The 26,487-nt window shown below is 37.8% G+C and overlaps 1 protein-coding gene and 1 long non-coding RNA gene across 5 annotated transcripts in view, besides 1 other annotated feature; one reads left to right on the top strand and one right to left on the bottom strand.

Moving 5' to 3' along the window:
• Positions 1–18,697, bottom strand: part of POU6F2-AS2 (POU6F2 antisense RNA 2) — a 33,673-nt gene extending 14,976 nt beyond the window's left edge. The window contains exons 1-3 of the long non-coding RNA NR_138047.1: positions 18,543–18,697; positions 10,193–10,342; positions 7,250–7,348 (exon numbers count right to left, since the gene is read on the bottom strand). This is a non-coding gene — a long non-coding RNA (POU6F2 antisense RNA 2). The remainder of the gene's footprint in view (positions 1–7,249; positions 7,349–10,192; positions 10,343–18,542) is intronic.
• Positions 1–26,487, top strand: part of POU6F2 (POU class 6 homeobox 2) — a 490,693-nt gene that overhangs the window by 16,962 nt on the left and 447,244 nt on the right. For 3 of the 4 annotated variants that reach the window (NM_007252.4, NM_001166018.2, XM_047419843.1), the window contains one exon: positions 11,887–11,997. The exons of the other annotated variant lie outside the window; for it this stretch is intronic. In NM_007252.4, coding sequence (NP_009183.3) covers positions 11,980–11,997 — 18 coding nt within the window. In that variant the 5' untranslated portion in view covers positions 11,887–11,979. Of the gene's footprint in view, positions 1–11,886; positions 11,998–26,487 lie in introns of those variants that run through there. 4 annotated transcript variants of the gene reach the window in all.
• Positions 22,566–22,766: a silencer, noted in NCBI's record as "peak6496 fragment used in MPRA reporter construct". NCBI's record gives its function as "represses an SCP1 promoter by STARR-seq MPRAs in K562 erythroleukemia cells {active_cell/tissue: K562}" and the evidence as "EXISTENCE:reporter gene assay evidence [ECO:0000049][PMID:32103011]".

Below are 26,487 nucleotides of genomic sequence, written 5' to 3' on the forward strand. Positions count from 1 at the left end.
CTAATGTGGTGAATTTAAACTTTCTACAACCTGCTGCCATCTTACTTCCCCAGTCCTTAACTTCCAAGAATCCCCATTGACAGACTGATCAACTCAGATCTTCTTATTGAAAGCTTTTCAAACATTTCCCCAGAAGAAATCCCTGGAAAGCCATGTATTGCAGAAATCCCTGGAAAGCCATGCATATTCATTATATTGACCATAGAATTTGAAACCCAATGCTTAATTTCAGAGGTGTCTTCTTCATAGCTCAATGTTCCTCCATTACTTGTGTTTTAAAAAGGGATCAAAAGTACTAAGTTGCTTTCCAGAGATTCCTTGGGAATTCATGAACATCTATCCATTCTGTGTCTTGGAGAATGATTAGAATTATACAAATCAGGACAACTTAATTAGAAAAGATATTGTTAAAGAAGCTGTCTTCCAAGAATTTGACCTCTGAAACTTGTCCTTCTCACTGGCCCACTCTCTGGCATTTGTTTCTCCTGCATCTTCAAGGCAATATTGCTAAGTGGTTAAGAGAGGACTGAAAATGACACATGTATACAAATGTAACAAATCTGCACGTTGTGCACATGTACCCTAAAACTTAAAGTATAATACAAAAAATAAATAAAATAAAATTCCCTTTGTGATGAAAAAAAAGAGAGAGGACTAAAATATTTGTTTGGCTACAGAGGGAGAAATTCCCTCAGTCCTTGTAGAATTATAAGGTCCCAATGAATAATTTTTTATTAGCTACTTGAGGCAGGGGCCATATTTTCCCACAGTCTCTAGCAAAATTCTTTATGAGCATTTGAATACCAGGCCCATCACCTTTTATAGCTTTTATACCTTGCACAACTTAGCTCCTCTGTGTTTCAGTTCTTGAACAGTGAAGCAAGAGTTATAAAAATCACTACCTCAGAGGGTTGCTGTGAGAATTACACATAAGATAATTCATGTAGAGAATGAAGCACAGTGCTTGACTCACAGAAAACACTACATGTACATGAGTTAATCTGATTATTGCCACCCATTTACTTCTTGTATCTATCCTCACATTCTTGCTTCTTCAGTACTTAAACTTTCCTTGTGGAAGAAATGGAAGTGCTCATCCATCTTTGCCTTTTGTGCAAGATATTGCTGGTCATGCTTCTTGAAGCTCCTTAGTAAGGGGCTTGGCTTTTTTTTTTTTTTTTTTTTTTAGACAGAATTTTGCTCTTGTTACCCAGGCTGGAGTGGAATGGCGCGATCTCGGCTCACTGCAACCTCCACCTCCCTGGTTCAAGCGATTCTCCTGTCTCAGCCTCCTGAGTAGCTAGGATTACAGGTGGCTGCCACTATGCCTGGCTAATTTTTGGTATTTTTAGTAAAGATGGGGTTTCACCATGTTGGCCAGGCTGGTCTCAAACTCCCGACTTGAGGTGATCTGCCCGCCTCGGCCTCCCACAGTGCTGGGATTATAGATGTGAGCCACTGCACCCAGCTGGGGCTTGGCTTTTTTGACCCTAACCTTCTACTCCCAGTTTTCTTACCTCTCTTCTATTTATTTAACTTGCTATTGCATCCTCCTTCTCTCCAGAAAGAGTCATTCCCAAGGTTTGCTCACAGGTTCTTCTCTTTCTTCAGTATTCCCATCAGCTTTAGTAACTCCAACTATTATTTCTATCTATTCTTTCATCCACTTGCAGCCTTGACCACTTTTTTAGAGCATTATCTACCTAGAAAACATCCATGACTTTCCCTTCACAAGCATCATGTTGGATGCTAAAGGCATCTTTCCTACAAATCCACTCCACCTGAAAGAATAACAGCACTTACTTTTTACTTTTACTGTGTGCCAGACTGTTCTAACAACTCTGCTTGTATATCTATTTCAACATGAAAAAGTGGCAAAGTTGAGGTTCAAGTTCAAGCAGGCTTACTCTATGTTTATACCTCTTGACTTGCTTATATCCGCAAAGGCTGACAGCCTTCCATTCACTGAATCTTGGGCCCTCAGTCACCTTGACTCCCCCCACCTTTAATGAATGGACAGAGCACATGGAATCTACCTGGGTTGAAAAATCTCTTTATCCAGTCTTGCTCCACCCTCCCTTCCAGACTTTTGTTCCTCTTGCCTGAATTATTGACATAATTCCTCTCTAGTCTTCCTGTTCCTATGTTTTCTGTACATCAGTGACCTTCACACATTTCTTTTTTTCAAACAAATTTAACTTCAGAAGCCCCAAATGTAGAGCAGAGAAAGGCAGTGGGGCTCTCACTGAAACTGGGAGAAGAACCCAGATTTCCACCTGCTCTGTGTTGACTTTGTTCACTATTGAGCCAGATTCTGGATAATTTCCTTTAGACATGGCTTGGAATGCATTCTTCCCTATTCTGAAACATGAGGTCATGCAAAGCCCCATCCTGTCTTTTCCTGGTTTGTTTTTTTTCTTTCACTCCTCCAGTTCAGACTCTACACTCTAGTCTAATTGAACTAGACTACTCACTTTTCTCAAACATCTGCAGTTTCTTTCTTCCTTATCTCTGAACTTCCACAACAATTTGTGTTTACTTAAATCTTGTCCATCCTTCTGAAGCAATAGCTCCTGCAGCAATCTTCTACCTGTCTGCCTGAACCAGCCTGGCCTCATCTGAATCCTTAGAGCACATCGTGCCTCTTTTTGGCATCCACATTCTGTTTTCTTTTAGGGGTATTATAAGCCTGTGTTCTATTTCCCCTTGATGATGACCTCTAGGGGATTACCCCCTATGTAGATATGTGTTCAGCACACAGCCTTGAACCTAGACCCACCAAACACAAACATTGGCAGATGGTGAAAAAAATTCATTCACCCAACAAATGCTTATTGAGTATTTGTTAAGCAAATTTCTTAGCCCTCCAGATACAACAAGGTCCCAGCTGTTATGGACTGATGGCACGTATGGGTATATGTAAACAAATGTGATAAGTTGCTCCTTCCCTGAAGAAGGATGAATTTTATATAGTTTTAGAATTTTTAGAGGAAAGAGATTATCAAGTCCAACAGACCCAAGACCCTTGTTTTAATTCAAAGAGATTAACTGATTTGTTCAAAGGCAGTGGCCAAACCTGGAAGAGTCCTGAGTCCTGTTCTCTGGGCACTTACATCACAACTCTCAAGCCACTTTTGACTGGTCTCTAAGCATAAGATCTTGTTGGTTTAGAAAAATGGGAAAAACAGAGAATATTCTTTGCAAAATTCTTTTTATATGTACATTTATTTTCTCCGAAGAATTTTTAAATGATCAAGTCTTTTATCTTTCCCTCCTCTATTTATCTCTCCTCAAGCCCCTTTTCAACAGTCATGTGAACAATATATGCACTTAATTATTGCTTTACTCCTCATTGCAGTTAATAAATTACCTGTGACATCTCCTAGACCTTGCAAGTTCCCAAGATTGGGGTGGTGGAGGGAATCTTCTCCCATGTTCTCTATCAGGTACATTCTAGTTTCAGCTGTCCTATGCGATTAAAGTGTACTTGAGTGAATTTTAACAAGTCAGGAAGATAGGGTTGCAGTGCTCAGGTCCCAATGAAAGGAGTTTCCCAATGAGAGAAGTTTACATCACATACAATATGATCTCATTTTTAAAAATCATACCTATATGTAGACGTACAAATATTTTGATATTTATTGAGATGTCATGGGATACATAAATGCCATTAGGAGATCTGAACAAATTTAAATAAGTATTGACATGTTCTGTAAAGTATTTTCAATGCAAGGAGAATTTTAGGAAAATTTAAGCAGTAAAGATATTCTTGGTGTTAATCACATTTTTTTTTTTTTTGAGACAGTATCTTGCTCTGTCACCCAGGATGGAGTGCAGTGGCATGATCTCGGCTCACTGCAAGCTCCGCCTCCAAGTTCAAGCAATTCTCCTGCCTAAGCCTCCCAAGTAGCTGGGACTACAGGCGCCTGCCACCACACCCGGCTAATTTTTTTTTTTTTTTTTTTTTTTATTTTCAGTAGAGACCAGGTTTTACCATGTTAGCGAGGATGGTCTCGATCTCCTAACTTCATGATCCGCCCGCCTCGGCCTCACAAAGTGCTGGGATTACAGGCGTGAGCCACTGCACCCAGCTGTTGTTAATCACATTAGTTGATATAAGGGTGAGTTGGAAGAGGGCAAGGGAAGAAAGAGTAGACCAACAATTATGCTTAATGACTCAACAGTGGAGAACATAGCAATGGGCTATGTTCTTTAGGAGTCAGATGCTGGAGTTAAGTAGAAGGCATTTTGGGATAGATCCTAATAGCATCTCCCCTATACAGGCTTCTTTACATGACATTTGAAAAATGTGGAATATACTGTTTGGCTACAGAGGGAGAAATTCCCTCAGTCCTTGTAAAACTGTAAGGTCCCACTGGATACTTTTTTATTAGCTACTGGAGGCAGGGGCCATATTTTCCCGCAGCCTGTAGCACAATTCTTTACACATAGTAGGCACTCAATAAAGATTTGTCAAGTGTATGAATGCACAGGGTTTTCATAAAGGCATGATCCAAGGCTGTTCAGGTACTCCATTTTTATCGCCATTCAGAACTTACAGCTCCCATAGCAACAATAACTTGTACCCCTCAAGCATATGTAGTATTTAGTATTTCTGTATGTGGTGTCAACTTTCATGTCATAATATACTATATGTGTAACTGGTTAAGTTACTGTTGTTGTGGGAACCATAGGCTTTTTCCCACCTAAAATAAGCCCTTGCTAGCCATCCTTGTCTATGCAGAGGTGACAACTGTACAATCTTTCCATGCCTAACTCGTCTCTCTGACCCTAGGCCTCCTGTTTGGTCGACATATCCAATGACAGGTTTACGTGCTTTTTGCAATGACAATGCTGTGCTTAATAGTCTTTTTTGCTAGTAACGCTGTGACATTAATATTTTGAAAGCCCACTTTTAGATTTATTATTGCTTTGTTGGGGCGTACCATTTAATTACATGTACATTTTGAAAAGGGGATCAATTCAACAATCAGTCTGGTTATGAGATGTTCCTAGGCACGATGGCACAGAACAAATATGTTGTCTTATCCTGTCTCATGCCACCAAAGATGAAATGTACTTGCTTTTTTCCCTAAAGTAGGTACTAAAACTTTTTATTTTCTGTTCATAATGAGAGATTTTTTAGAGGGAGCTTCTTGAAACCTGGAAAAAATTACCAGCCCTCATTTTAGTTCGTTTTGTAATTCATCTTTGTGAATGGCAAGCTAAGGAAAGTGGACAGTGGACAGTCAGGGGTCAGTTAGGGTAACTCAAGTGGAGTTAAATGCTTCTCCTCTCCAGGTGCCAGCAAGCATGTTTGGGGGGACATTGGAGCACACTGTTTAAGCAGATTGGCCTTGAGCCAGCAGATTTCTGTTTGTGTTACTTGAAGCTTATAGATATACTCTTGGGAAAATCCTCAGAATATGCGTGCTTTTCTAAATGGGAAGCCTCTTACTGTTTAACACTGATTCACTTATAAGGCTTTTACTTCTAGCGATCACTTGGACTGTCTAGTGAAGCAAATACAATATTTTTACCAATGTTTATTACACAACAGCCACTAATATCAGACTGCTCTCCACTGTCTATCTTCTGCTAAATGTTCTCTTCATTTCTTCTACATCTCCACCCTCTCCATTTTCTCAACATACCCACAGACACACACACACACACACACACACACACACACACACCCTCCCAACTTACAATGAGATATTAATCTCTCATATGCATTCATAGCCCTGGCCTCAAGACCAATTTTTGTTTCTCCCAATGCTATAAATTGGGTCACTCAAACATATTTGTTGAAATGGAACAAAAACACTCTGACATTTTGTTTATAGAGTATCTAGAAAAGATCAGGGTCAACAGAGACTTGACTTCCCACTCCTGTCCTTTTTGTATCTTCTCTGCCCCATGCAGAGGGTCTCCTGTGCACTGTTGGTCCTTCCTTATCAATCACGTGGCCTTTCCTTTTCCTTAGATCTCCCAACACCTTGGTCCTTGGCAAGCAAAAAATGACCTGCCCAGTGTTGTTTGTTCAAATAATCTGTAACTGAATTCATACCTAGGTATTAATATGTGAGTAAACATGCAGTATTTATCGTTTAAAATGAGTTTCATGGCATTACAGTATATTATCCTTAAAGATAAATTTAATGGTGGAAATTTCATATTGGGAAGATGAGAGAGATGTTTTTGAGTGAATAGTTCCTTACCTTTTAACCTGTGTGACCTATCAGGTTACTTTTCTACCTTGATGTTCTTGATTGTGCCTGCATAGTTGGTAAATAGTTTAAAATGACTTATGGGTATAGCAGCATTAAATTTCCATAATGAGATGAAATATACTAGAAAGATCATTCTTTGACACAGGCCATTTTGATTTTTTTTTTTGCATTGGGTTAGAGTTTATAAACAAAGAGTTGATAATAGGCGATATATTATTTAATTCATGTGATTTTTATCGAGTACTTGTTATGGGTCAGGCATCTATCCTGGGGATAGAAGATTACTAAGATAACTGTGGTCCCTGTTCTCACCTAGCTTGCATTGTAGACAAGCAAACAGATGAGAAACAAGTAAAAAATAAAAGGAGAATCTCAATTTGTGGTATGCACCAGAAAGGAAATGAAAATTATTACTAAGCTAGTGAATTATGATTGAGGATGGGAAATCTACTTTAGATGAGGATATGTGGGAAGACCATGTCTGAGCTCTCTCCTAAAGGTTGCATGGTCAACCTGTTGACCACGGCTGGTGCTGCCATGGGAGAAATGGTGATAATGGTGGTGGTGATGGTGATGGTGATGGTGATATGATGTTGATGGTGATGTGATGATGATATAATGGTGATGGTAATGGTGATGGTGATGTTGGTGATGGTGGTTATGTGATGGTGATAGTGATGGTGATGTAATGATGATGGTGATGGTAGTGATGTGATGATAGTCATGGTGATGTGATGATAGTCATGGTGATGTGATGATGCTGCTGATGGTGATGGGGATGATGATGTGAATGGTGATGATGATGTTGGTGATAGTGATGATGTGGTGGTGATAGTCATGGTGATGTGATTTGTTGGTGATGTTGATGGTAATGTTGATTATAAGCCACAATGGGGTTTAAAACTAACCTGTGGTAAAAATAACAGGGCTATGTCAAATGTAACTCCTTGACATGTTATCAAAGAAGACCTAGAAATAACAGACAGGATGATATTAAATAAGTTGTTTAGTCTTACCTTTGGCTTTAAACAATTTACTCTTGAATGTACACTTTGTGGCAAAGGAGCAAGCAATACTTCTAGAGTTTACGCATTTTCTTTGATAGGTAATGAATTCTAGGAGAAACAAAGTGATTACTATTACTCTGCTCTTCCTTAGGCAAAATCCAGAGATTTTGAAACCAGTTTGTTAATATAAGGTTGATTTTGCCTTGAGGTTAGTGATTTACAAGTTTTGTTGTTGTTGTTGTTGTTGTTGTTTTCGAGACAGGGTCTCACTCTGTTGCCCAAGCTGGAGTGCAGTGGCACAATCTCAGTTCACTGCAATCTTTGCCTCTAGGGTTCAAGCAATTCTCGTGCCTCAGCCTCCCAAGGGGCTGGGACTACAGGCACGTGCCGCTATGCCTGGCTAATTTTTATATTTTTAGTAGAAATGGGTTTCACCTTGTTGGCCAGGCTGGTCTCGAATCTGTGGCTTCATGTGATCCACCCACCTCAGCCTCCCAAAGTGCTGGGATTATGGGTGTGAGCCACCACACCCGGCCAGTGATTTACAAAGTATTAAGGAGAAAAATAACATTTTAGAGCAATAAACTGATTACTGACTTACTGCTTTGGTAATTTATTGATTTGATCAGTTTCTTCAAGTGACTACAAGTTGTTTTTCCCCTCCGGGGAATTTTTGAATTTTTTCTGATGCATATCTTCTTCCCGGCATTGCCCTTTCCTCTCTTCCTTTTCCTCCCTCTGCTGCCAAAATGTCCTCTGCATAGAAATATGAAGGTTTCCTTTATGATTTAGTATTAATGTTAGACTATGAAAAGAGCGTTTTAAAATTTGCTGAGTTGCTGTTAGTTATACTAAGACTCATTCATAATCTGTGGGACAGCACTTGTGGAAAGCCAACACAATTTAGTTATCTTCGTTTCCGAATCTGGAAGACTTTAATGACATGGAAAGAATCTCAGTTATTTAGTTAACCAGACAAAGCAGATTGTAGTACATTTGTACTACATGCTTCTGTTTTATAAATAATACAGAAAGATGAGATGCATATCTAAATATTTATGGATGTGTACAAAAAGCCATCAAGGACATACTAAAATGTTAATCTCTTGTAGGATATTTTGAAAACATTTTCTTTTTTTTTTCCTTTTTCTAACTTCAAAATTTAAATTCTAAAGTTCAAAGGCAAAAAGACGATTTTTGAAATAAACCACAAAAATAGTAAGTTGTTTTCACCTTTGATCTAGTAATTCTACTTTTAGGAAATACTCAGCGACCTGGATAAAGAAATTATATTAGCACTCACACACAAAAAGGAAGCATCTGATGTCTTAAAAGAAGGAAGTGATTGGGCTGGTCACGGTGGCTCATGCCTGTAATCCCAGCACTTTGGGACGCTGAGGCAGGCGATCACGAGGTCAGGAGATCGAGACCATCGGGTCTAACATGGTGAAACCCCGTCTCTACTAAAAATACAAAAAAAAAAAAAAAATTAGCTGGGCGTGGTGGCAGGCACCTGTAGTCCCAGCTACTCGGGAGGCTGAGGCAGGAGAATGGTGTGAACCTGGGAGGCAGAGCTTGCAGTGAGCCAAGATCGCGCCACTGAACTCCAGCCTGGGCGACAGAGGGAGACTCCGTTTCAAAAAAAAAAAAAGAAGGGAGTGATTAAGCATATTAAATCCATAAATCATGTGACGTTACAATTGTTTTCAAAGAAATTGACCTGGGTATATGCTTATGATATAATGTGTAATGTTAAGTGAAAAAAAATAGCTTATGTAGTATGGTTCTAATTATGTAAATTTTAAAAGTGTAGAAAAAAAGACCATAAAGAAATAACCAAACTTTCGGCAGTGATAATTTTTAGGTTTGGAGAATCATGTTTTTTTTAACTTTTCAATGAATAGACATTCCGTTTAAAATGAGATATACATATAAACGTTTATATATATTTTTCAAAGAATCAGAATAAAATCTCTGATAACAATTCATCTTGATGTTTTGGTAATAATAATTGGGAAGGCCTAGAACATATTCCTTTTCACTGTGTTCACCCAGTGCCTTAAGGAAACAAATAACAAATAAGAGCCTCCAATTTCTTGGACACTTCTTATATGCTGTTTAAACTTCACAGAAATATTTTTAAAAATCTCAAGCTTTAGGGAGTTGGATTATAAAAGTAGCCATAGCTTGGACATATTATTGTCAATATGAGTATTAGGCACATTTGATTATCAATACAGTCAACTCTACTCAGTTGGTCAGAACTGTTCAATCAGATTGATAGACAATAGAAGATTTTCCTGTTTCCTTGCATTCTGGACATTTTGAATGAGAATTTGTTCCACTAAATTGGTGCCTCTGTTAAGCTCCAGGACAAGCCCAGTGAATGAGCTGACTCAATTGTTTAGGCATCTTTGGACCTCTGAGTTAGAGGAAGAAAACTGTGGACTAGTAGTGCCTGTGCAGAGGAGGCCCTCAATAAATAAATGATGGGCACCTAAGGCACATTTAGTCTTGTCCGCACTTCATCCCACAGTTTAACCTGGAAAGTTGGTACTTTATATATGTATATTATTTACATGAATGATACTTGTCTGGGACTAAAAAGTAAAATAGGAGAAGTAGTTGTATTAACAGTAATAAAAATATACTGAAAATCAGGGCTGCCAATTATTGGTCCACCTGCTGTGCTCCGGGCCCTGCAAGAGATCCTGGCATTTGTCTTCTCGTTAATGTGATGCCGCCCTGATTTGCTATAGGACTTGCCCTTTCCTGAGGATTCTAACATGTGAAAAGACACAATGGCCAGGCTCTCAGCACATATGATGTCTAATGCCCTTCAACCCTTTCTTGTTTTTGGTCTGTGCCCTGATGGTTTTCCATCTCATCTGTGGCAGATGAGATTCAAGGTGAGAGAAAGAACAAACCCTATAAGGTAATTCTGTCACTCACCTCATCTTCATAATCTTCCCTGAGCTTCCTCTGCTGCTCACCCTGGTATTGATCGTGTCACTGGCTATAGCAGACCAAGGCAGGGGGCTGCAAACCTTTCCTCACAACCCTCGCCAGTGCGCCTGTTTCAGCTCCAAGAAGAAAAGCCTGCTGTGAAAACAATCAGTGCATTTGCTTTAGATCTAAGTGATTCCAACTAGGTCGATGCTTCATGCTGATGTGTTGAAAACATTTAAAAAATTTCTCAGAGTTTGATTTCCACGGGAACATTGTGGCATGTGTCTCAGTGTCTACAGTTGTTATTTTTCACGAATGCAGCCGACAACTGCTTCCTGCCACAGCACACAAAAGCAGTAGGAAAACGGAGGCTTTTGTCTGGATGGATATTTACTATAAATGCTTTCTGGGGAAAGGGAGAAACCTGTGTGTGTGTGTGTGTGTGTGTGTGTGTGTTTATGTTGTGTGTTGTGTTTGCGTGTGTGCGTGCAGGCATGTGTGCACGTGTATGTAGGTTGGGTTGATAGCCGCACGCTATCTTGACCTGCCGTCAAAGAGGTTTTTGTTTTAGTTTTTGTTTTTTTCACTCCTGAAGTGAGTAAGATCCAATGTTGATAGGGTATAAATGCAAGAGAATGGACTACTGTCTGGTTTGGGTTTGAGTTTTGAGATTTCCTTTGTTTTGGCACTGACTTTCCTAGACAAATAATTCATAATAATGCCAAGAGTTGCTTTATCTTCTAAAGGATCTAACAGATCTCTGCAAGTTTATGTTTATATCCAGAAACAATTGGACCTTTTCATCATATTGTGGCATGCAGCAGTAAAATGGACATTATGAAAGGGAGCTATCCTCACACGAATTCATATGTATTTAATCTCTGACAGAGATCCAGGATAATATTTAATTGTAGAATCTAAGCTAACAAGTTTTCCACCTGAAAAGTAATCTCTCTAAAGAAAAGGAATGCTGTGCCAGCATGTATGTGGTGTATTGTGGTATTGGGGGGACATGATAAGGGGTAAGGGGCCCAGTCTAACAGTGTTGGAGTCAGGGGCATGGACAAGCATCTTACACCTGATCACATTTTTAAGTCCCCATTCTAGTTAATAATACAGTTGGGCCGGGCGCGGTGGCTCACACCTGTAATCCCAGCACTTTGGGAGGCCGAGGCAGGCAGATCACCTGAGGTCAGGAGTTTGAGGCCAGCCTGGCCAACATGGTGACACCCCATCTCTACTAAAAATACAAAAATTAGCCAGGTGTGGTGGCACACACCTGTAATCCCAGCTACTCAGGAGGGTGAGGCAGGAGAATTGCTTGAACCTGGGAGGCGGAGGTTGCAGTGAGCTGAGATTGTGCCACTGCATTCCAGCCTGGGTGACAGAGCAAGACTCAGTCTCAAAAAAATAAAAAAAAATGTAGAGCCTAGAATTTGTTTTAAAAATATAGAACAATGTACCTACAAGCCACACCTTCAAAATTACTTCTTTATTTAGAGATAAAGTCAGAGAGCTGACATTAGGGCTTCTTATTTTCCCATGTAGCTCCACGGAAGATCTGTGGCTAAGTCAGAGTCAGAACCTAGTTGTTTAGTGTTCTGTCTGCCAAGTCCTGTAAAAAGCATGTGTGTCATTTCAGCTGAGTTTTCTTTGCAATGTCATCATTTAAATAAAATGTTGGGGTTTTCTTCTAGGCATGAACTCTCTTGGGTTGTGTTACCCTGTTTGCTGTTTACTGTCAAGATGCTGAAAGAATGTTCTTATAATGATCCAAGAGGAAGTGGCAAATGAGTGCTCTTCTTCAGGTATTTTGTTGATTTTTCAGAATGCCTACCAATAGGAAATTTCCACAAATTTATAATCTGTGAGTTTATTGTATAAAATCGGAGGGAAATAATTGTCATGTTTCCTTGAGTCAAATGAGTGAGATTCCCTTATGCTCTGATGTGCTGCTTCTCCAAAACGTTAGATTTATTTTATGCCAGAATTATTCCTTAATTCATAAGCTGTATCCATGGGTGGCATTACAGTTTGTTTTACTGAACACCTACATTGACTATATATCTCTTTCCTTACTGTTTACGTATTTGACCATTAGAGTTTATATTCTAAATACAAGCTGCACATAAATAATCTTTTATGGAATTTTATTTGCTATTTTTATATTTCATTTTAAAAAGGTAGATGTGGCTTTTATGGGAAAAGATACTCTAGATTTTTGAGTATTACTTGACACTTCTATTTCGAGATATCTGCAATTAGGAGGCTTAAAGTATTTTGGGGGGAAGTTGGGTCAGTAATACCCACAGTTTCCTTATGAAGAAAGTGGGAAGAAAATTTCAGTGGAATGTATTCTGTCTTGAAGGAACAGAAAACTTGAAAGGAGACCTAGGTCACTGATGATGGGTCTAGGAACAGAATTTATCTCCAGTTTTCTAATTGCTTCTTTTAAATTAGATATGTACTTTTTTTTCTTATTATACTTTAAGTTTTAGGGTACATGTGCACAATGTGCAGGTTAGTTACATATGTATACATGTGCCATGGTGGTGCGCTGCACCCACTAACTCATCATCTAGCATTAGGTATATACCCCAATGCTATCCCTCCCCACTCCCCCAACCCCACCACAGTCCCCAGAGTGTGATATTCCCCTTCCTGTGTCCATGTGATCTCATTGTTCAGTTCCCACCTATGAGTGAGAATATGCGGTGTTTGGTTTTTTGTTCTTGCGATAGTTTACTGAGAATGATGTTTTCCAATTTCATCCATGTCCCTACAAAGGACATGAACTCATCATTTTTTATGGCTGCATAGTATTCCATCGTGTATATGTGCCACATTTTCTTAATCCAGTCTATCATTGTTGGACATTTGAGTTGGTTCCAAGTCTTTGCTATTGTGAATAGTGCCGCAATAAACATACGTGTGCATGTGTCTTTATAGCAGCATGATTTATAGTCCTTTGGGTATATACCCAGTAATGGGATGGCTGGGTCAAATGGTATTTCTAGTTCTAGATCCCTGAGGAATCGCCACACTGACTTCCACAATGGTTGAACTAGTTTACAGTCCCACCAACAGTGTAAAAGTGTTCCTATTTCTCCACATCCTCTCCAGCACCTGTTGTTTCCTGACTTTTTAATGATTGCCATTCTAACTGGCGTGAGATGGTATCTCATTGTGGTTTTGATTTGCATTTCTCTGATGGCCAGTGATGATGAGCATTTTTTCATGTGTTTTTTGGCTGCATAAATATCTTCTTTTGAGAAGTGTCTGTTCATGTCCTTCGCCCACTTTTTGATGGGGTTGTTTTTTCTTGTAAATTTGTTTGAGTTCATTGTAGATTCTGGATATTTGCCCTTTGTCAGATGAGTAGGTTGCGAAAATTTTCTCCCATTTTGTAGGTTGCCTGTTCACTCTGATGGTAGTTTCTTTTGCTGTGCAGAAGCTCTTTAGTTTAATTAGATCCCATTTGTCAATTTTGGCTTTTGTTGCCATTGCTTTTGGTGTTTTAGACATGAAGCCCTTGCCCATGCCTATGTCCTGAATGGTAATGCCTAGGTTTTCTTCTAGGGTTTTTATGGTTTTAGGTCTAACGTTTAAGTCTTTAATCCATCTTGAATTGATTTTTGTATAAGGTGTAAGGAAGGGATCCAGTTTCAGCTTTCTACATATGGCTAGCCAGTTTTCCCAGCACCATTTATTAAATAGGAAATCCTTTCCCCATTGCTTGTTTTTCTCAGGTTTGTCAAAGATCAGATAGTTGTAGATATGCGGCGTTATTTCTGAGGGCTCTGTTCTGTTCCATTGATCTATATCTCTGTTTTGGTACCAGTACCATGCTGTTTTGGTTACTGTAGCCTTGTAGTATAGTTTGAAGTCAGGTAGCATGATGCCTCCAGCTTTGTTCTTTTGGCATAGGATTGACTTGGCGATGCAGGCTCTTTTTTGGTTCCATATGAACTTTAAAGTCGTTTTTTCCAATTCAGTGAAGAAAGTCATTGGTAGCTTGATGGGGATGGCATTGAATCTGTAAATTACCTTGGGCAGTATGGTCATTTTCACGATATTGATTCTTCCTACCCATGAGCATGGAATGTTCTTCCATTTGTTTGTATCCTCTTTTATTTCCTTGAGCAGTGGTTTGTAGTTCTCCTTGAAGAGGTCCTTCACATCCCTTGTAAGTTGGATTCCTAAGTATTTTATTCTCTTTGAAGCAATTGTGAATGGGAATTCACTCATGATTTGGCTCTCTGTTTGTCTGTTGTTGGTGTATAAGAATGCTTGTGATTTTGTACATTGATTTTGTATCCTGAGACTTTGCTGAAGTTGCTTATCAGCTGAAGGAGATTTTGGGCTGAGACAATGGGGTTTTCTAGATATACAATCATGTCATCTGCAAACAGGGACAATCTGACTTCTTCTTTTCCTAACTGAATACCCTTTATTTCCTTCTCCTGCCTAATTGCCCTGGCCAAAACTTCCAACACTATGTTGAATAGGAGTGGTGAGAGAGGGCATCCCTGTCTTGTGCCAGTTTTCAAAGGGAATGCTTCCAGTTTTTGCCCACTCAGTATGATATTGGCTGTGGGTTTATCATAGACAGCTCTTATTATTTTGAAATACGTCCCATCAATACCTAATTTATTGAGAGTTTTTAGCATGAAGGGTTGTTGAATTTTGTCAAAGGCTTTTTCTGCATCTATTGAGATAATCATGTGGTTTTTGTCTTTGGCTCTGTTTATATGCTGGATTACATTTATTGATTTGCATATATTGAACCAGCCTTGCATCCCAGGGATGAAGCCCACTTGATCATGGTGGATAAGCTTTTTGATGTGCTGCTGGATTCGGTTTGCCAGTATTTTATTGAGGATTTTTGCATCGATGTTCATCAAGGATACTGGTCTAAAATTCTCTTTTTTGGTTGTGTCTCTGCCAGGCTTTGGTATCAGAATGATGCTGGCCTCATAAAATGAGTTAGGGAGGATTCCCTCTTTTTCTATTGATTGGAATAGTTTCAGAAGGAATGGTACCAGTTCCTCCTTCTACCTCTGGTAGAATTCGGCTGTGAATCCATCTGGTCCTGGACTGTTTTTGGTTGGTAAGCTATTGATTATTGCCACAATTTCAGATCCTGTTATTGGTCTATTCAGAGATTCAACTTCTTCCTGGTTTAGTCTTGGGAGGGTGTATGTGTTGAGGAATTTATCCATTTCTTCTAGATTTTCTAGTTTATTTGCGTAGAGGTGTTTGTAGTATTCTCTGATGGTAGTTTGTATTTCTGTGGGATCGGTGGTGATATCCCCTTTATCATTTTTTATTGCATCTATTTGATTCTTCTCTCTTTTTTTCTTTATTAGTCTTGCTAGTGGTCTATGAATTTTGTTGATCCTTTCAAAAAACCAGCTCCTGGATTCATTAATTTTTTGAAGGGTTTTTTGTGTCTCTATTTCCTTCAGTTGTGCTCTGATTTTAGTTATTTCTTGCCTTCTGCTAGCTTTTGAATGTGTTTGCTCTTGCTTTTCTAGTTCTTTTAATTGTGATGTTAGGGTGTCAATTTTGGATCTTTCCTGCTTTCTCTTGTGGGCATTTAGTGCTATAAATTTCCCTCTACACACTGCTTTGAATGCATCCCAGAGATTCTGGTATGTTGTGTCTTTGTTCTCGTTGGTTTCAAAGAACATCTTTATTTCTGCCTTCATTTCGTTATGTACCCAGTAGTCATTCAGGAGCAGGTTGTTCAGTTTCCATGTAGTTGAGTGGTTTTGAGTGAGATTCTTAATCCTGAGTGCTAGTTTGATTGCACTGTGGTCTGAGAGATAGTTTGTTATAATCTCTGTTCTTTTACATTTGCTGAGGAGATCTTTACTTCCAAGTATGTGGTCAATTTTGGAATAGGTGTGGTGTGGTGCTGAAAAAAATGTATATTCTGTTGATTTGGGGTGGAGAGTTCTGTAGATGTCTATTAGGTCCGCTTGGTGCAGAGCTGAGTTCAATTCCTGGGTATCCTTGTTGACTTTCTGTCTCATTGATCTGTCTAATGTTGACAGTGGGGTGTTGAAGTCTCCCATTATTAATGTGTGGGAGTCTAAGTCTCTTTGTAGGTCACTCAGGACTTGCTTTATGAATCTGGGTGCTCCTGTATTGGGTGCATATATATTTAGGATAGTTAGCTCTTCTTGTTGAATTGATCCCTTTACCATTATGTAATGGCCTTCTTTGTCTCTTTTGATCTTTGTTGGTTAAAGTCTGTTTTATCAGAGACTAGGATTGCAACCCCTGCCTTTTTTTGTTTTCCATTTGCTTGGTAGATCTTCTTCCATCCTTTTATTTTGAGCCTATGTGTGTCTCTGCACGTGAGATGGGTTTCCTGAATACAGCACACTGATGGGTCTTGACTCTTTATCCAATTTGCCAGTCTGTGTCTTTTAATTGGAGCATTTAGTCCATTTACATTTAAAGTTAATATTGTTATGTGTGAATTTGATCCTGTCATTATGATGTTAGCTGGTGATTTTGCTCATTAGTTGATGCAGTTTCTTCCTAGTCTCGATGGTCTTTACATTTTGGCATGATTTTGCAGCGGCTGGTACCGGTTGTTCCTTTCCATGTTTAGTGCTTCCTTCAGGAGCTCTTGTAGGGCAGGCCTGGTGGTGACAAAATCTCTCAGCATTTGCTTGTCTGTAAAGTATTTTATTTCTCCTTCACTTATGAAGCTTAGTTTGGCTGGATATGAAATTCTGGGTTGAAAATTCTTTTCTTTAAGAATGTTGAATATTGGCCCCCACTCTCTTCTGGCTTGTAGGGTTTCTGCCGAGAGATCCGCTGTTCGTCTGATGGGCTTCCCTTTGAGGGTAACCCGACCTTTCTCTCTGGCTGCCCTTAACATTTTTTCCTTCATTTCAACTTTGGTGAAACTGACAATTATGTGTCTTGGAGTTGCTCTTCTCGAGGAGTATCTTTGTGGTGTTCTCTGTATTCCCTGAATCTGAACGTTGGCCTGCCTTGCTAGATTGGGGAAGTTCTCCTGGATAATATCCTGCAGAGTGTTTTCCAACTTGGTTCCATTCTCCCCATCACTTTCAGGTACACCAATCAGACGTAGATTTGGTCTTTTCACATAGTCCCATATTTCTTGGAGTCTTTGCTCATTTCTTTTTATTCTTTTTTCTCTAGACTTCTCTTCTCGCTTCATTTCATTCATTTCATCTTCCATTGCTGATACCCTTTCTTCCAGTTGATCACATCGGCTCCTGAGTCTTCTGCATTCTTCACGTAGTTCTCGAGCCTTGGTTTTCAGCTCCATCAGCTCCTTTAAGCACTTCTCTGTATTGGTTATTCTAGTTATACATTCTTCTAAATTTTTTTCAAAGTTTTCAACTTCTTTGCCTTTGGTTTGAATGTCCTCCCGTAGCTCAGAGTAATTTGATCGTCTGAAGCCTTCTTCTCTCAGCTCATCAAAGTCATTCTCCATCCAGCTTTGTTCCGTTGCTGGTGAGGAACTGTGTTCCTTTAGAGGAGGAGAGGCGCTCTGCATTTTAGAGTTTCCAGTTTTTCTGTTCTGTTTTTTTCCCCATCTTTGTGGTTTTATCTACTTTTGGTCTTTGATGATGATGATGTACAGATGGGTTTTTGGTGTGGATGTCCTTTCTGTTTGTTAGTTTTCCTTCTAACAGACAGGACCCTCAGCTGCAGGTCTGTTGGAATACCCTGCCGTGTGAGGTGTCAGTGTGCCCCTGCTGGGGGGTGCCTCCCAGTTAGGCTGCTCAGGGGTCAGGGGTCAGGGACCCACTTGAGGAGGCAGTCTGCCGGTTCTCAGATCTCCAGCTGCGTGCTGGGAGAACCACTGCTCTCTTCAAAGCTGTCAGACAGGGACATTTAAGTCTGCAGAGGTTACTACTGCTGTCTTTTTGTTTGTCTGTGCCCTGCCCCCAGAGGTGGAGCCTACAGAGGCAGGCAGGCCTCCTTGAGCTGTGGTGGGCTCCACCCAGTTCGAGCTTCCCGGCTGCTTTGTTTACCTAATCAAGCCTGGGCAATGGCGGGCGCCCCTCCCCCAGCCTCGCTGCCGCCTTGCAGTTTGATCTCAGACTGCTGTGCTAGCAATCAGGGAGACTCTGTGGGCGTAGGACCCTCCGAGCCAGGTGCGGGATATAATCTTGTGGTGCCACGTTTTTTAAGCCAGTCCGAAAAGCGCAATATTCGGGTGGGAGTGACCCGATTTTCCAGGTGCGTCTGTCACCCCTTTCTTTGACTCGGAAAGGGAACTCCCTGACCCCTTGCGCTTCCCAAGTGAGGCAATGCCTCGCCCTGCTTCGGCTCGCGCACGGTGCGCGCACCCACTGACCTGCGCCCACTGTCTGGAACTCCCTAGTGAGAAGAACCCGGTACCTCAGATGGAAATGCAGAAATCACCCGTCTTCTGCGTCGCTCACGCTGGGAGCTGTGGACTGGAGCTGTTCCTATGCGGCCATCTTGGCTCCTCCCTAGATAGGTACTTTTTAAAAATGGGGTGACTATTCAGAATGTCTTGTTCTGTAGAGTTTTAGACTTTTAGAATGCTGGAGATAATATAATCAATTGATTCCGGCATGATAATGATATTTTGCAGTGTTCCATAGCATAAAGAAGGCAGCATTTATGTTAAACATGGTCCCTTCCTTTCTATTAACGGCATTTGTCTATAAACACCAAGGGAGTGGAGCTGCTGTAAGTCAATGAGTGGAGGAAATAGTTGTAATATGTCATCTTTCCAACATCATTTCATTCATTTTAAAAATGAACTCCTTGGGTGTGCTGTAGAAACACTATTTTACTTTAAATATACTAGCAAGAGCCCTATTCGTAAAGAATTTATGCACTTAATTTATGTACTCAGCTTGTCAGGTTACTTTGTTTCCAGATTTTTTCCCTTCAGAGGAATGAGAGAGTCCTCATGAGTTGCAAAAAGAAAAACCATAGGCTTATAATAAGCTTTTACTGGCTCATGTGTGAAGCTTAGCCTACTATAGATTTTCCAGAAAATCAAATATGGATGTGGCGGAAATATCTTTTCTGGCTAGGAGAAGCGACTCATTATGAAACAATGAACTGTACATCTCTTGGGAGTGTCTTTGAGTAGTTACTTAAAAGCCAATGTTTAGCAGCAGAACCTTCAGAGAGGCATAACCCAATGCTGGCAGTGTAGGAAAGCAGCTTTAAATGAACATTTCCCACAGGAGATTGTTTCAGACAGGGTGTGGAAATGGCAGGTGAATGAAGGTCTCTTCCAGCTAACTGGAAAAGCATGTTTTCAGGAGAGCAGATGCTATAACTATAAAAATGAAGGTGAACATACTGAAAAAGAAGGGGATAAAATTAATTTTACAGAAATGATAACATGTTAGATGTTGTTTAGCAATTTTTAATGTTAAATCTTTCTCCTACGCCTTGGGTAATACAAAGACAACATTGTTGAGTTAGTTTTAAGAACGTCTATGTGCAAGGCAAGTCTTAATTCACCTGATAAATCCTTGTGAAATATGTGTGGAATCTTATGGATTCAGAAAAAGCTGAATTTTTTTTCATTCTTTGTCAATTTATCTTTTTTCTTTTGTCACCTCCACATGTTGCTATAGCTTAGACAGCTTAGACCTGGAAAGAAAATTGCAAGATTTTTTTTTTCCTGTTTTCTCCCCACCAGACTTCCTCCTAATGTCAAAGGTCCTGCAGATCATTCTCTCACAAATGCTGGAGAGCTCTTTTTCACAGTTGACTATACAAATACATCCTTGGTGTAATAAATGATGGCGCCTCCTACTTCTTAGTTTCCTTTTGGCAAAAGTGGAACCGTTTCCATGAAGCTGTGCCTTCCTTCTTGCTACTGCTGTTGACTCCTCTATTAGTTGGAGACAAGAGCCTTTGGGCAGAAGGATGGTACACCATAAATGATCGTCTTCCTCCTCGTGGTCTCCATTCAGATGACCACTGAGAATATTTATCATCTTGCTTATGGATTTAAAAAAATTATGTCAGTAACTCTGTTAGAATATTCTGTTTTGTTCGGGAGCAGAATTTTAAAAATATATCAATGCCTAACAATTTCTTATTCTTAGAATTTATTTCCTCTTTTAAAAAAAGATGGCTATTAATGGTATGTGTAGGTCTGATTTTATGTATATATTATATATCTGTATTATATATATCTATATTATATCTAGAGATATGGTATCTATTATATAGAGATATATCTATAAATATCTATATATAATAATAGATATAATATATATTATAATATATAATAATAGATATATATTATATAATATATTATGTATAATATATAATAGATATATATTATATGTAAATTAGATATAATATCTATTATATATAATATATAATCTAATATATATTATTATATATAGATATATTATATCTATGTTTTATATAGATATATTATATATTATTATATATATAATATATCTATGTTTTATATAGATATATCTATGTTTTATATAGATCTACATTATAGATATATCTATGTTTTATATAGATATATCTATGTTTTATATAGATCTACATTATAGATATATCTATGTTATATATAGATATATATTATATATAGATATATTATATCTATGTTATATATCTATATATTATATATATCTATGTTATATAGAGATATATAACATATAGATATATATTATATATTATATATAGATATATTATATATATTATATATGGTATATTATATATAGATATATATTATATAGGTATATATTATATATAGATATATAATATATTATATATAGATATATATAATATATTATATATAGATATATATTATATATTATATATAGATATATATTATATATTATATATAGATATATATAATATATAGATATATATTATATATTGTATATTGATATATATTATATATAGATATATATAATATATAGATATATATTATATATTATATATATTATATATAGATATATATTATATATTATATATATTATATATAATATATAGATATATATTATATCTATATTATACATTATATATCTATATTATATATTATATCTATATTATACATTATATCTATATTATATATAGATATAATATTATGTATAGATACATTATATCTATATTATATATAGATGTATATAAGATTACCTATATATAATGCAATATATACTGATTATCTATATAGAAAATACAGTATATACTATATAATAACAACTATTTATTGAATTTCCACTGTGAGCCAAGTAGGGTTCTAGTAATTTGGGATATGATATAGTAATTCCAATTCATTGGTTTAATATGTATTTATTAAGTACAGCATCCATGTGTTTGATCACTAAACTAGGACATGGGACAGAAAGGAAGACACAGTTTCTGCTCCAAAAAGCTCATAGTCCCATTAGAGAGAAAAAACAAGATGGTAAAATAAAAGCTGTAAAATCATATAAGCACTGGAGCATTTTAAAAGGTTAAAAACAATATAGCTCCCCCCCCGCTTACAGTTCAGTAGAAAAGACTCTAGCTAACCAAAGTCAAATATTTATATTTACATAAATATGAAACAGTAGTAAGTGTTACCATGGGGAGATGAATGGTATGAAAGCTCATCACACGAGACTTTGACCCTATCAGGGAAATCATCAGTGAGTATATCAGGGAGGTGAGATTGAAGGAGGAGCTGGAGTTGTGTAGGTCAAGACGGCGTTAAGCGTGCTCTCTGCAGATGGAACAGCGCATGCATAGTCCCTGCAGCTGAAAGGAATGTGGCACGTCCAGTTTAAGGGACTTGAAGAAGGCCGACAGCCACTGTGGCAGAGCACAGAGAGCAAGAGGAGTGTAAATGTGGCAGTAAGCCAGACTGTGGAGACCTTGCCGAAAATTTGGTTTGATCCAAGGAGCTCTAGGGAACCCGTGAATGTCATAAATGCCTTTGGGAGGGGAAGGCTGGAGGTGTTGCCCTCAGATGCTCCTGTATGTATAAGGTTTTACAACTTCTATTTTATCATGTTGTTTTTTCTCCCTTATGTAACTATGAGTTCCTTGGGGCAAGAACTGTGTCCTCTTCCCTATCCCATGGCCTAGCTTAGTGCCTAATAGGTGGATGCTGTACTCAATAAATACATATTATGTCAATGATTTTATATCATTTACTTATTCTTCTTGACTTTTCTTTAGCTATTAGTAAATACAGTTTTACCTAACAATGAGCAAAATATGTGCACTGGGCTGCGTGTGAACATGTTATGTAGATTTGTTAGTGATTTATGTAATCTATCTGGGATCTGTTTACTTTGTACTGCTAAATCTAATTCTACTGCTAAATCACCATCTTTAGTCGCTGTTATTGTTATGTGTATTATCACAATATTCTTCTAACTGTTCTCCTTTGTTTGCCCATGACCTATTGTCAACCCAGCAGCCGTCTTATGATAACCTAAAGCAGATTACTGTATCCCTGGCTGGAAAGCATCAGGAGGTCCCCATATCACCCAGAGTAGGAGTCACTCCGTAGAGCTGCTTCTAAGTGAACTTCCCCACCTCTCTGCCTCTCCTACCTCATCTACTACAAGCCCCCTTATCCACCCTGGGGTAGCCATACCGGGCGTTCCTGCAGTTCCTCAAACATTCCAAGCATGCTGTCATCTCAGAGGCTTTGAATTTTGTTTTCTAACCCAATTATTTGCATGACTCCTTTATATAAAACATTCCAAAATGTTTATTAAGCTCATTCCCAGATTGTGCATGCGTGTGTGTGTGTGTGTGTGTGTGTGTGTGATTTGAGTGGATTTTTTTCAGAATTATCCTATTAGTTTTCTTAATTTATTGATTCTTCTGCATTTTCATCATATTATCTCCAAATAATGTTAATTTGTATTCTTTTCCTATTAGTTATACCTCATTTCTTTTTCCGGCCTTGCTGTATTGGCTAACATCCTCAAGTCAAATGTAGCAAACTTACGGTGATAGCAGGTATCTTTGTTTTCTTCCTAGCCTATTGAAAAGTCCTTGGGATTTGTGTTAAATATAGAATTTGTCTGAACTCTTTTAGTTGCAAATGACAGAAAGCCAGATCGATCAATGGTAATGGCTCACAGAAATCTAGGGATAGAACTGTCTGCAGGCAGAGGTGATTTTTGATGTTCAAAACTTCTATCAGGGCCATGTCTCTCTGTCTCCATCTCTCACCATTATTTTCCTTTGTATACAATCATTCTCAGAAATGCTCTCTCCATGAAGTAGGAAGTAGGGAATGATTCTGATTGGTTTGCAGAGCATACAAGCCCACCCTCTAGTTACTGTGTCAGGTGTGAAGATTGGTTGTGCCGGAAGCCATGACCTGAACTTATTTGGTGACAAAACCTCACCTGAACTGACATGAAGTAAACCATTTACATTTTTTTTTTTTGGTGCAGAAATATTAATCAGCTTAATAGTCTAGAATGTGCTGGGAGTGTTAGTTAATATGTAATCTAAGTACTGCATTATCATTGTAAAATTTATAAAATTCTGAGTTCTCATTTATGTCTTGCTCCAGTGGAATCACATAGGGGATTGTGAGCCTGTATAATTAAATTTTCCATATGTATCTGTAAATTGAATCTAAAAATTTTAAAAATCCAATGTTTCCAATAATCACTATAAAACAAAATAGAATAACTCATAGGTTAAGACATATAACCTTGTATCATGAAAACAGTGCCACTAAAAGTAGAAATACAACGAGTAAAAGTTGAAAGTGGGAGGAATGGAGCAGAGCATTTTTCACTTTACATATTTTAATATAGTTTACCCTTTTCATGAAGAAGGTTCAGTTCTTTTACCTAGAAACTTACTACCTAGAATTCATTTGCTTCTTGGAAACACTCCTTCTGATTTCCCTGCCTCCTTCTTGTATTGCAGCCTTGGTTTTCCAGGACGATTGCATGACCAACTTCTTGGAATTTCCTTTCATTTTGTAGCCTTATTTGGTCCATGGTTTCTTAAACCTTATATTTTCCTCATTCCTACATCCCATTTTTGTTATTGTTGTTATTTGGTGGCATCCTCAAGTAATTCTTTAAGAAAAAATCTGTAGATGGTAAATTTTATGAGTCCCCACATGCCTGAAAATGACTTTATTTTGTCTCTACTCTTGATTGATAGCTAGAATTTTAAGTTCAAAATAATTCTCACTCAGAACTTTTGAAGGCACTGCTCTGATGTTTTCTGGCATCCAACATCACTTATGAAATGTCTGAAACCAATTTGGTCCTTCTTCCTTTGAAGATAAACATTGTAATCTCTTTGGAAGCTTTTAGGACCTTCTTTAGAATCCTTGTGTTCCGAAATTTTATAAGAATGTTCTTAGATTTTTTTTCCTCCATTTTTTTCTGCTCAACGCCATATGGAATCTTTCAAAATGAAGACTTACAGTATTCCATTTGTAGGCTTGTTTAAGCTTTGGGAAATTTCATTCACTACTCCTTTGATAAATTGCTCACATTCCTTTTCTTAGCTACCTCTTTCTAGAGCTACTAGGAGACAGATGTTGGCCTTCCTGGATTGATTGTGCTGAAATCTTTTGCATTTTCTTTCTTTTTTCTTTTTTTTTTTTTTTAAGATTCTGGAACGTTTCCTTGACTTTTCCATGTAGTGTTTCATCAATCTTTCAAATGTCAACAATTACATTTTGAATTTTCAAAAACCTTTGCTCCTTTTATCACTGCAACCTGTTCTTGTTTTGTGGATAAAATATTTTGTCAAATCTTCTTCACATCACCAATTAAAATTATTTTATGATTCCATTCTCTTCCCTGAATTATTTCTGTTTTCTCCAGCATCAGAGAATCAATGTATTCCTTTTGATTCTTTTGGGGTTTTGTTACAATTTTTCTCAGAATCTGGTAACTGTTGGTTGTCCATTTATATGCATGAATGAAGAAGTAAGATAATTATTAAATGCAGCCATCATGGATTTCCTTCGCAGCTTGCATATGTCAGGCTTCATTCTAGGAAGTGTGGAACCAGGAGCAAGTGAGCAGGTTGGGTGCACCCTCCCAGACCCCCCAAAAAAGCTAGCTCCCAATCTGGGGTCTTATCCTTCATTCTAGAAGCCAGTGCCTTTGTAGTGAGAAAGTGTTGACAAGGATCAAAGATTTCCTCAGGCAGGCCCTGATAAAATAATGTCATCTCTTTATAATGCTGCATGATGAGCTATTTAGAATGGTCCAGGAAGGGATAAATCATTTTTATCTACTAAAGATACTCAAATATCTACTTCAAGATATTGTTATACAATAATTGTATCATTCATATTGTGTTCTCAGTCCACCACTGATGTGATTTCTTTCCTTTCCAAAGTTCATGCAGAAGTATTTATTTCCAGAATTACAGCATTGAGGACAAAGTATGGGCTAAATGGTATTTCTTCTTTGGGGGATTTTTTGAGATGGTCATTGCATTGCAGTCTCATCCATGAGTCCTTTTCATTACTTTATGTGGAAATTTGAAAAGAATATGAATTTTACATCTGTAAGATACAATGTTTCCTCTTTTACTCTTTCTCCTCAATAAATCAAACTCCTTAATTGTGTTATTCAGCTACTGTCTATTTTTTATCTACTTGATCTGTCACACTCTGAAAGAGGTGTTATTGCTCTTAAGATTGCAGTTTCTGCCAATTTCTCATCGTATTTCTAAAAGTTCTTTGCCTAATGTATTTCTAGGTTAGATTTTTTTTTTTTAATGTACAGAGTTTTTGACATCTGTTTGGCAGAATGTACCTTTTATAAAAATGAAATATCCCATTTAATGCATTTTGCTTAAGCTATACTTTGATAGTAATATTGCCACCTGCTTTCCTTCTGTTTCCATTTGCCTATTGTATCTTCCAGCATTTTCAATTTTTCCTTATCATTTTTTTTAAAATGTTCTTTTAAACAGTCTCTGGCTGGGTTTTGTTTTTCTTCTCTTAACTCAATTTTGGATCCATTGTCTTTTAATGGAGAAATGTAATTCCTTCTGTTAATTATGTTAAATGATTTGCTTGCTCTTGGTTTTATTTTTACCATTAAAAGTTATATTTTAATTGATGAATAAATATTATATATTTATGGGGTACACTGTAATGTTTGGTATATGCTTACAATGTGGAATGATTAAAACCTTATCTATTTCAATTTATGTTATGTGGTTATTTTCTTTCCTTTGCTATCTTTCTTTGGAATGATCAGTTTTTATTCTTACTGCTTTGAAAGTTTTGCATGTTATTTCTTTCCTACTAGCAGATAATATTAATTTTTGTAGCAAAC

Source organism: Homo sapiens, chromosome 7 (genome assembly GCF_000001405.40).
Source record: "Homo sapiens chromosome 7, GRCh38.p14 Primary Assembly".
Lineage (NCBI taxonomy): Eukaryota > Metazoa > Chordata > Mammalia > Primates > Hominidae > Homo > Homo sapiens.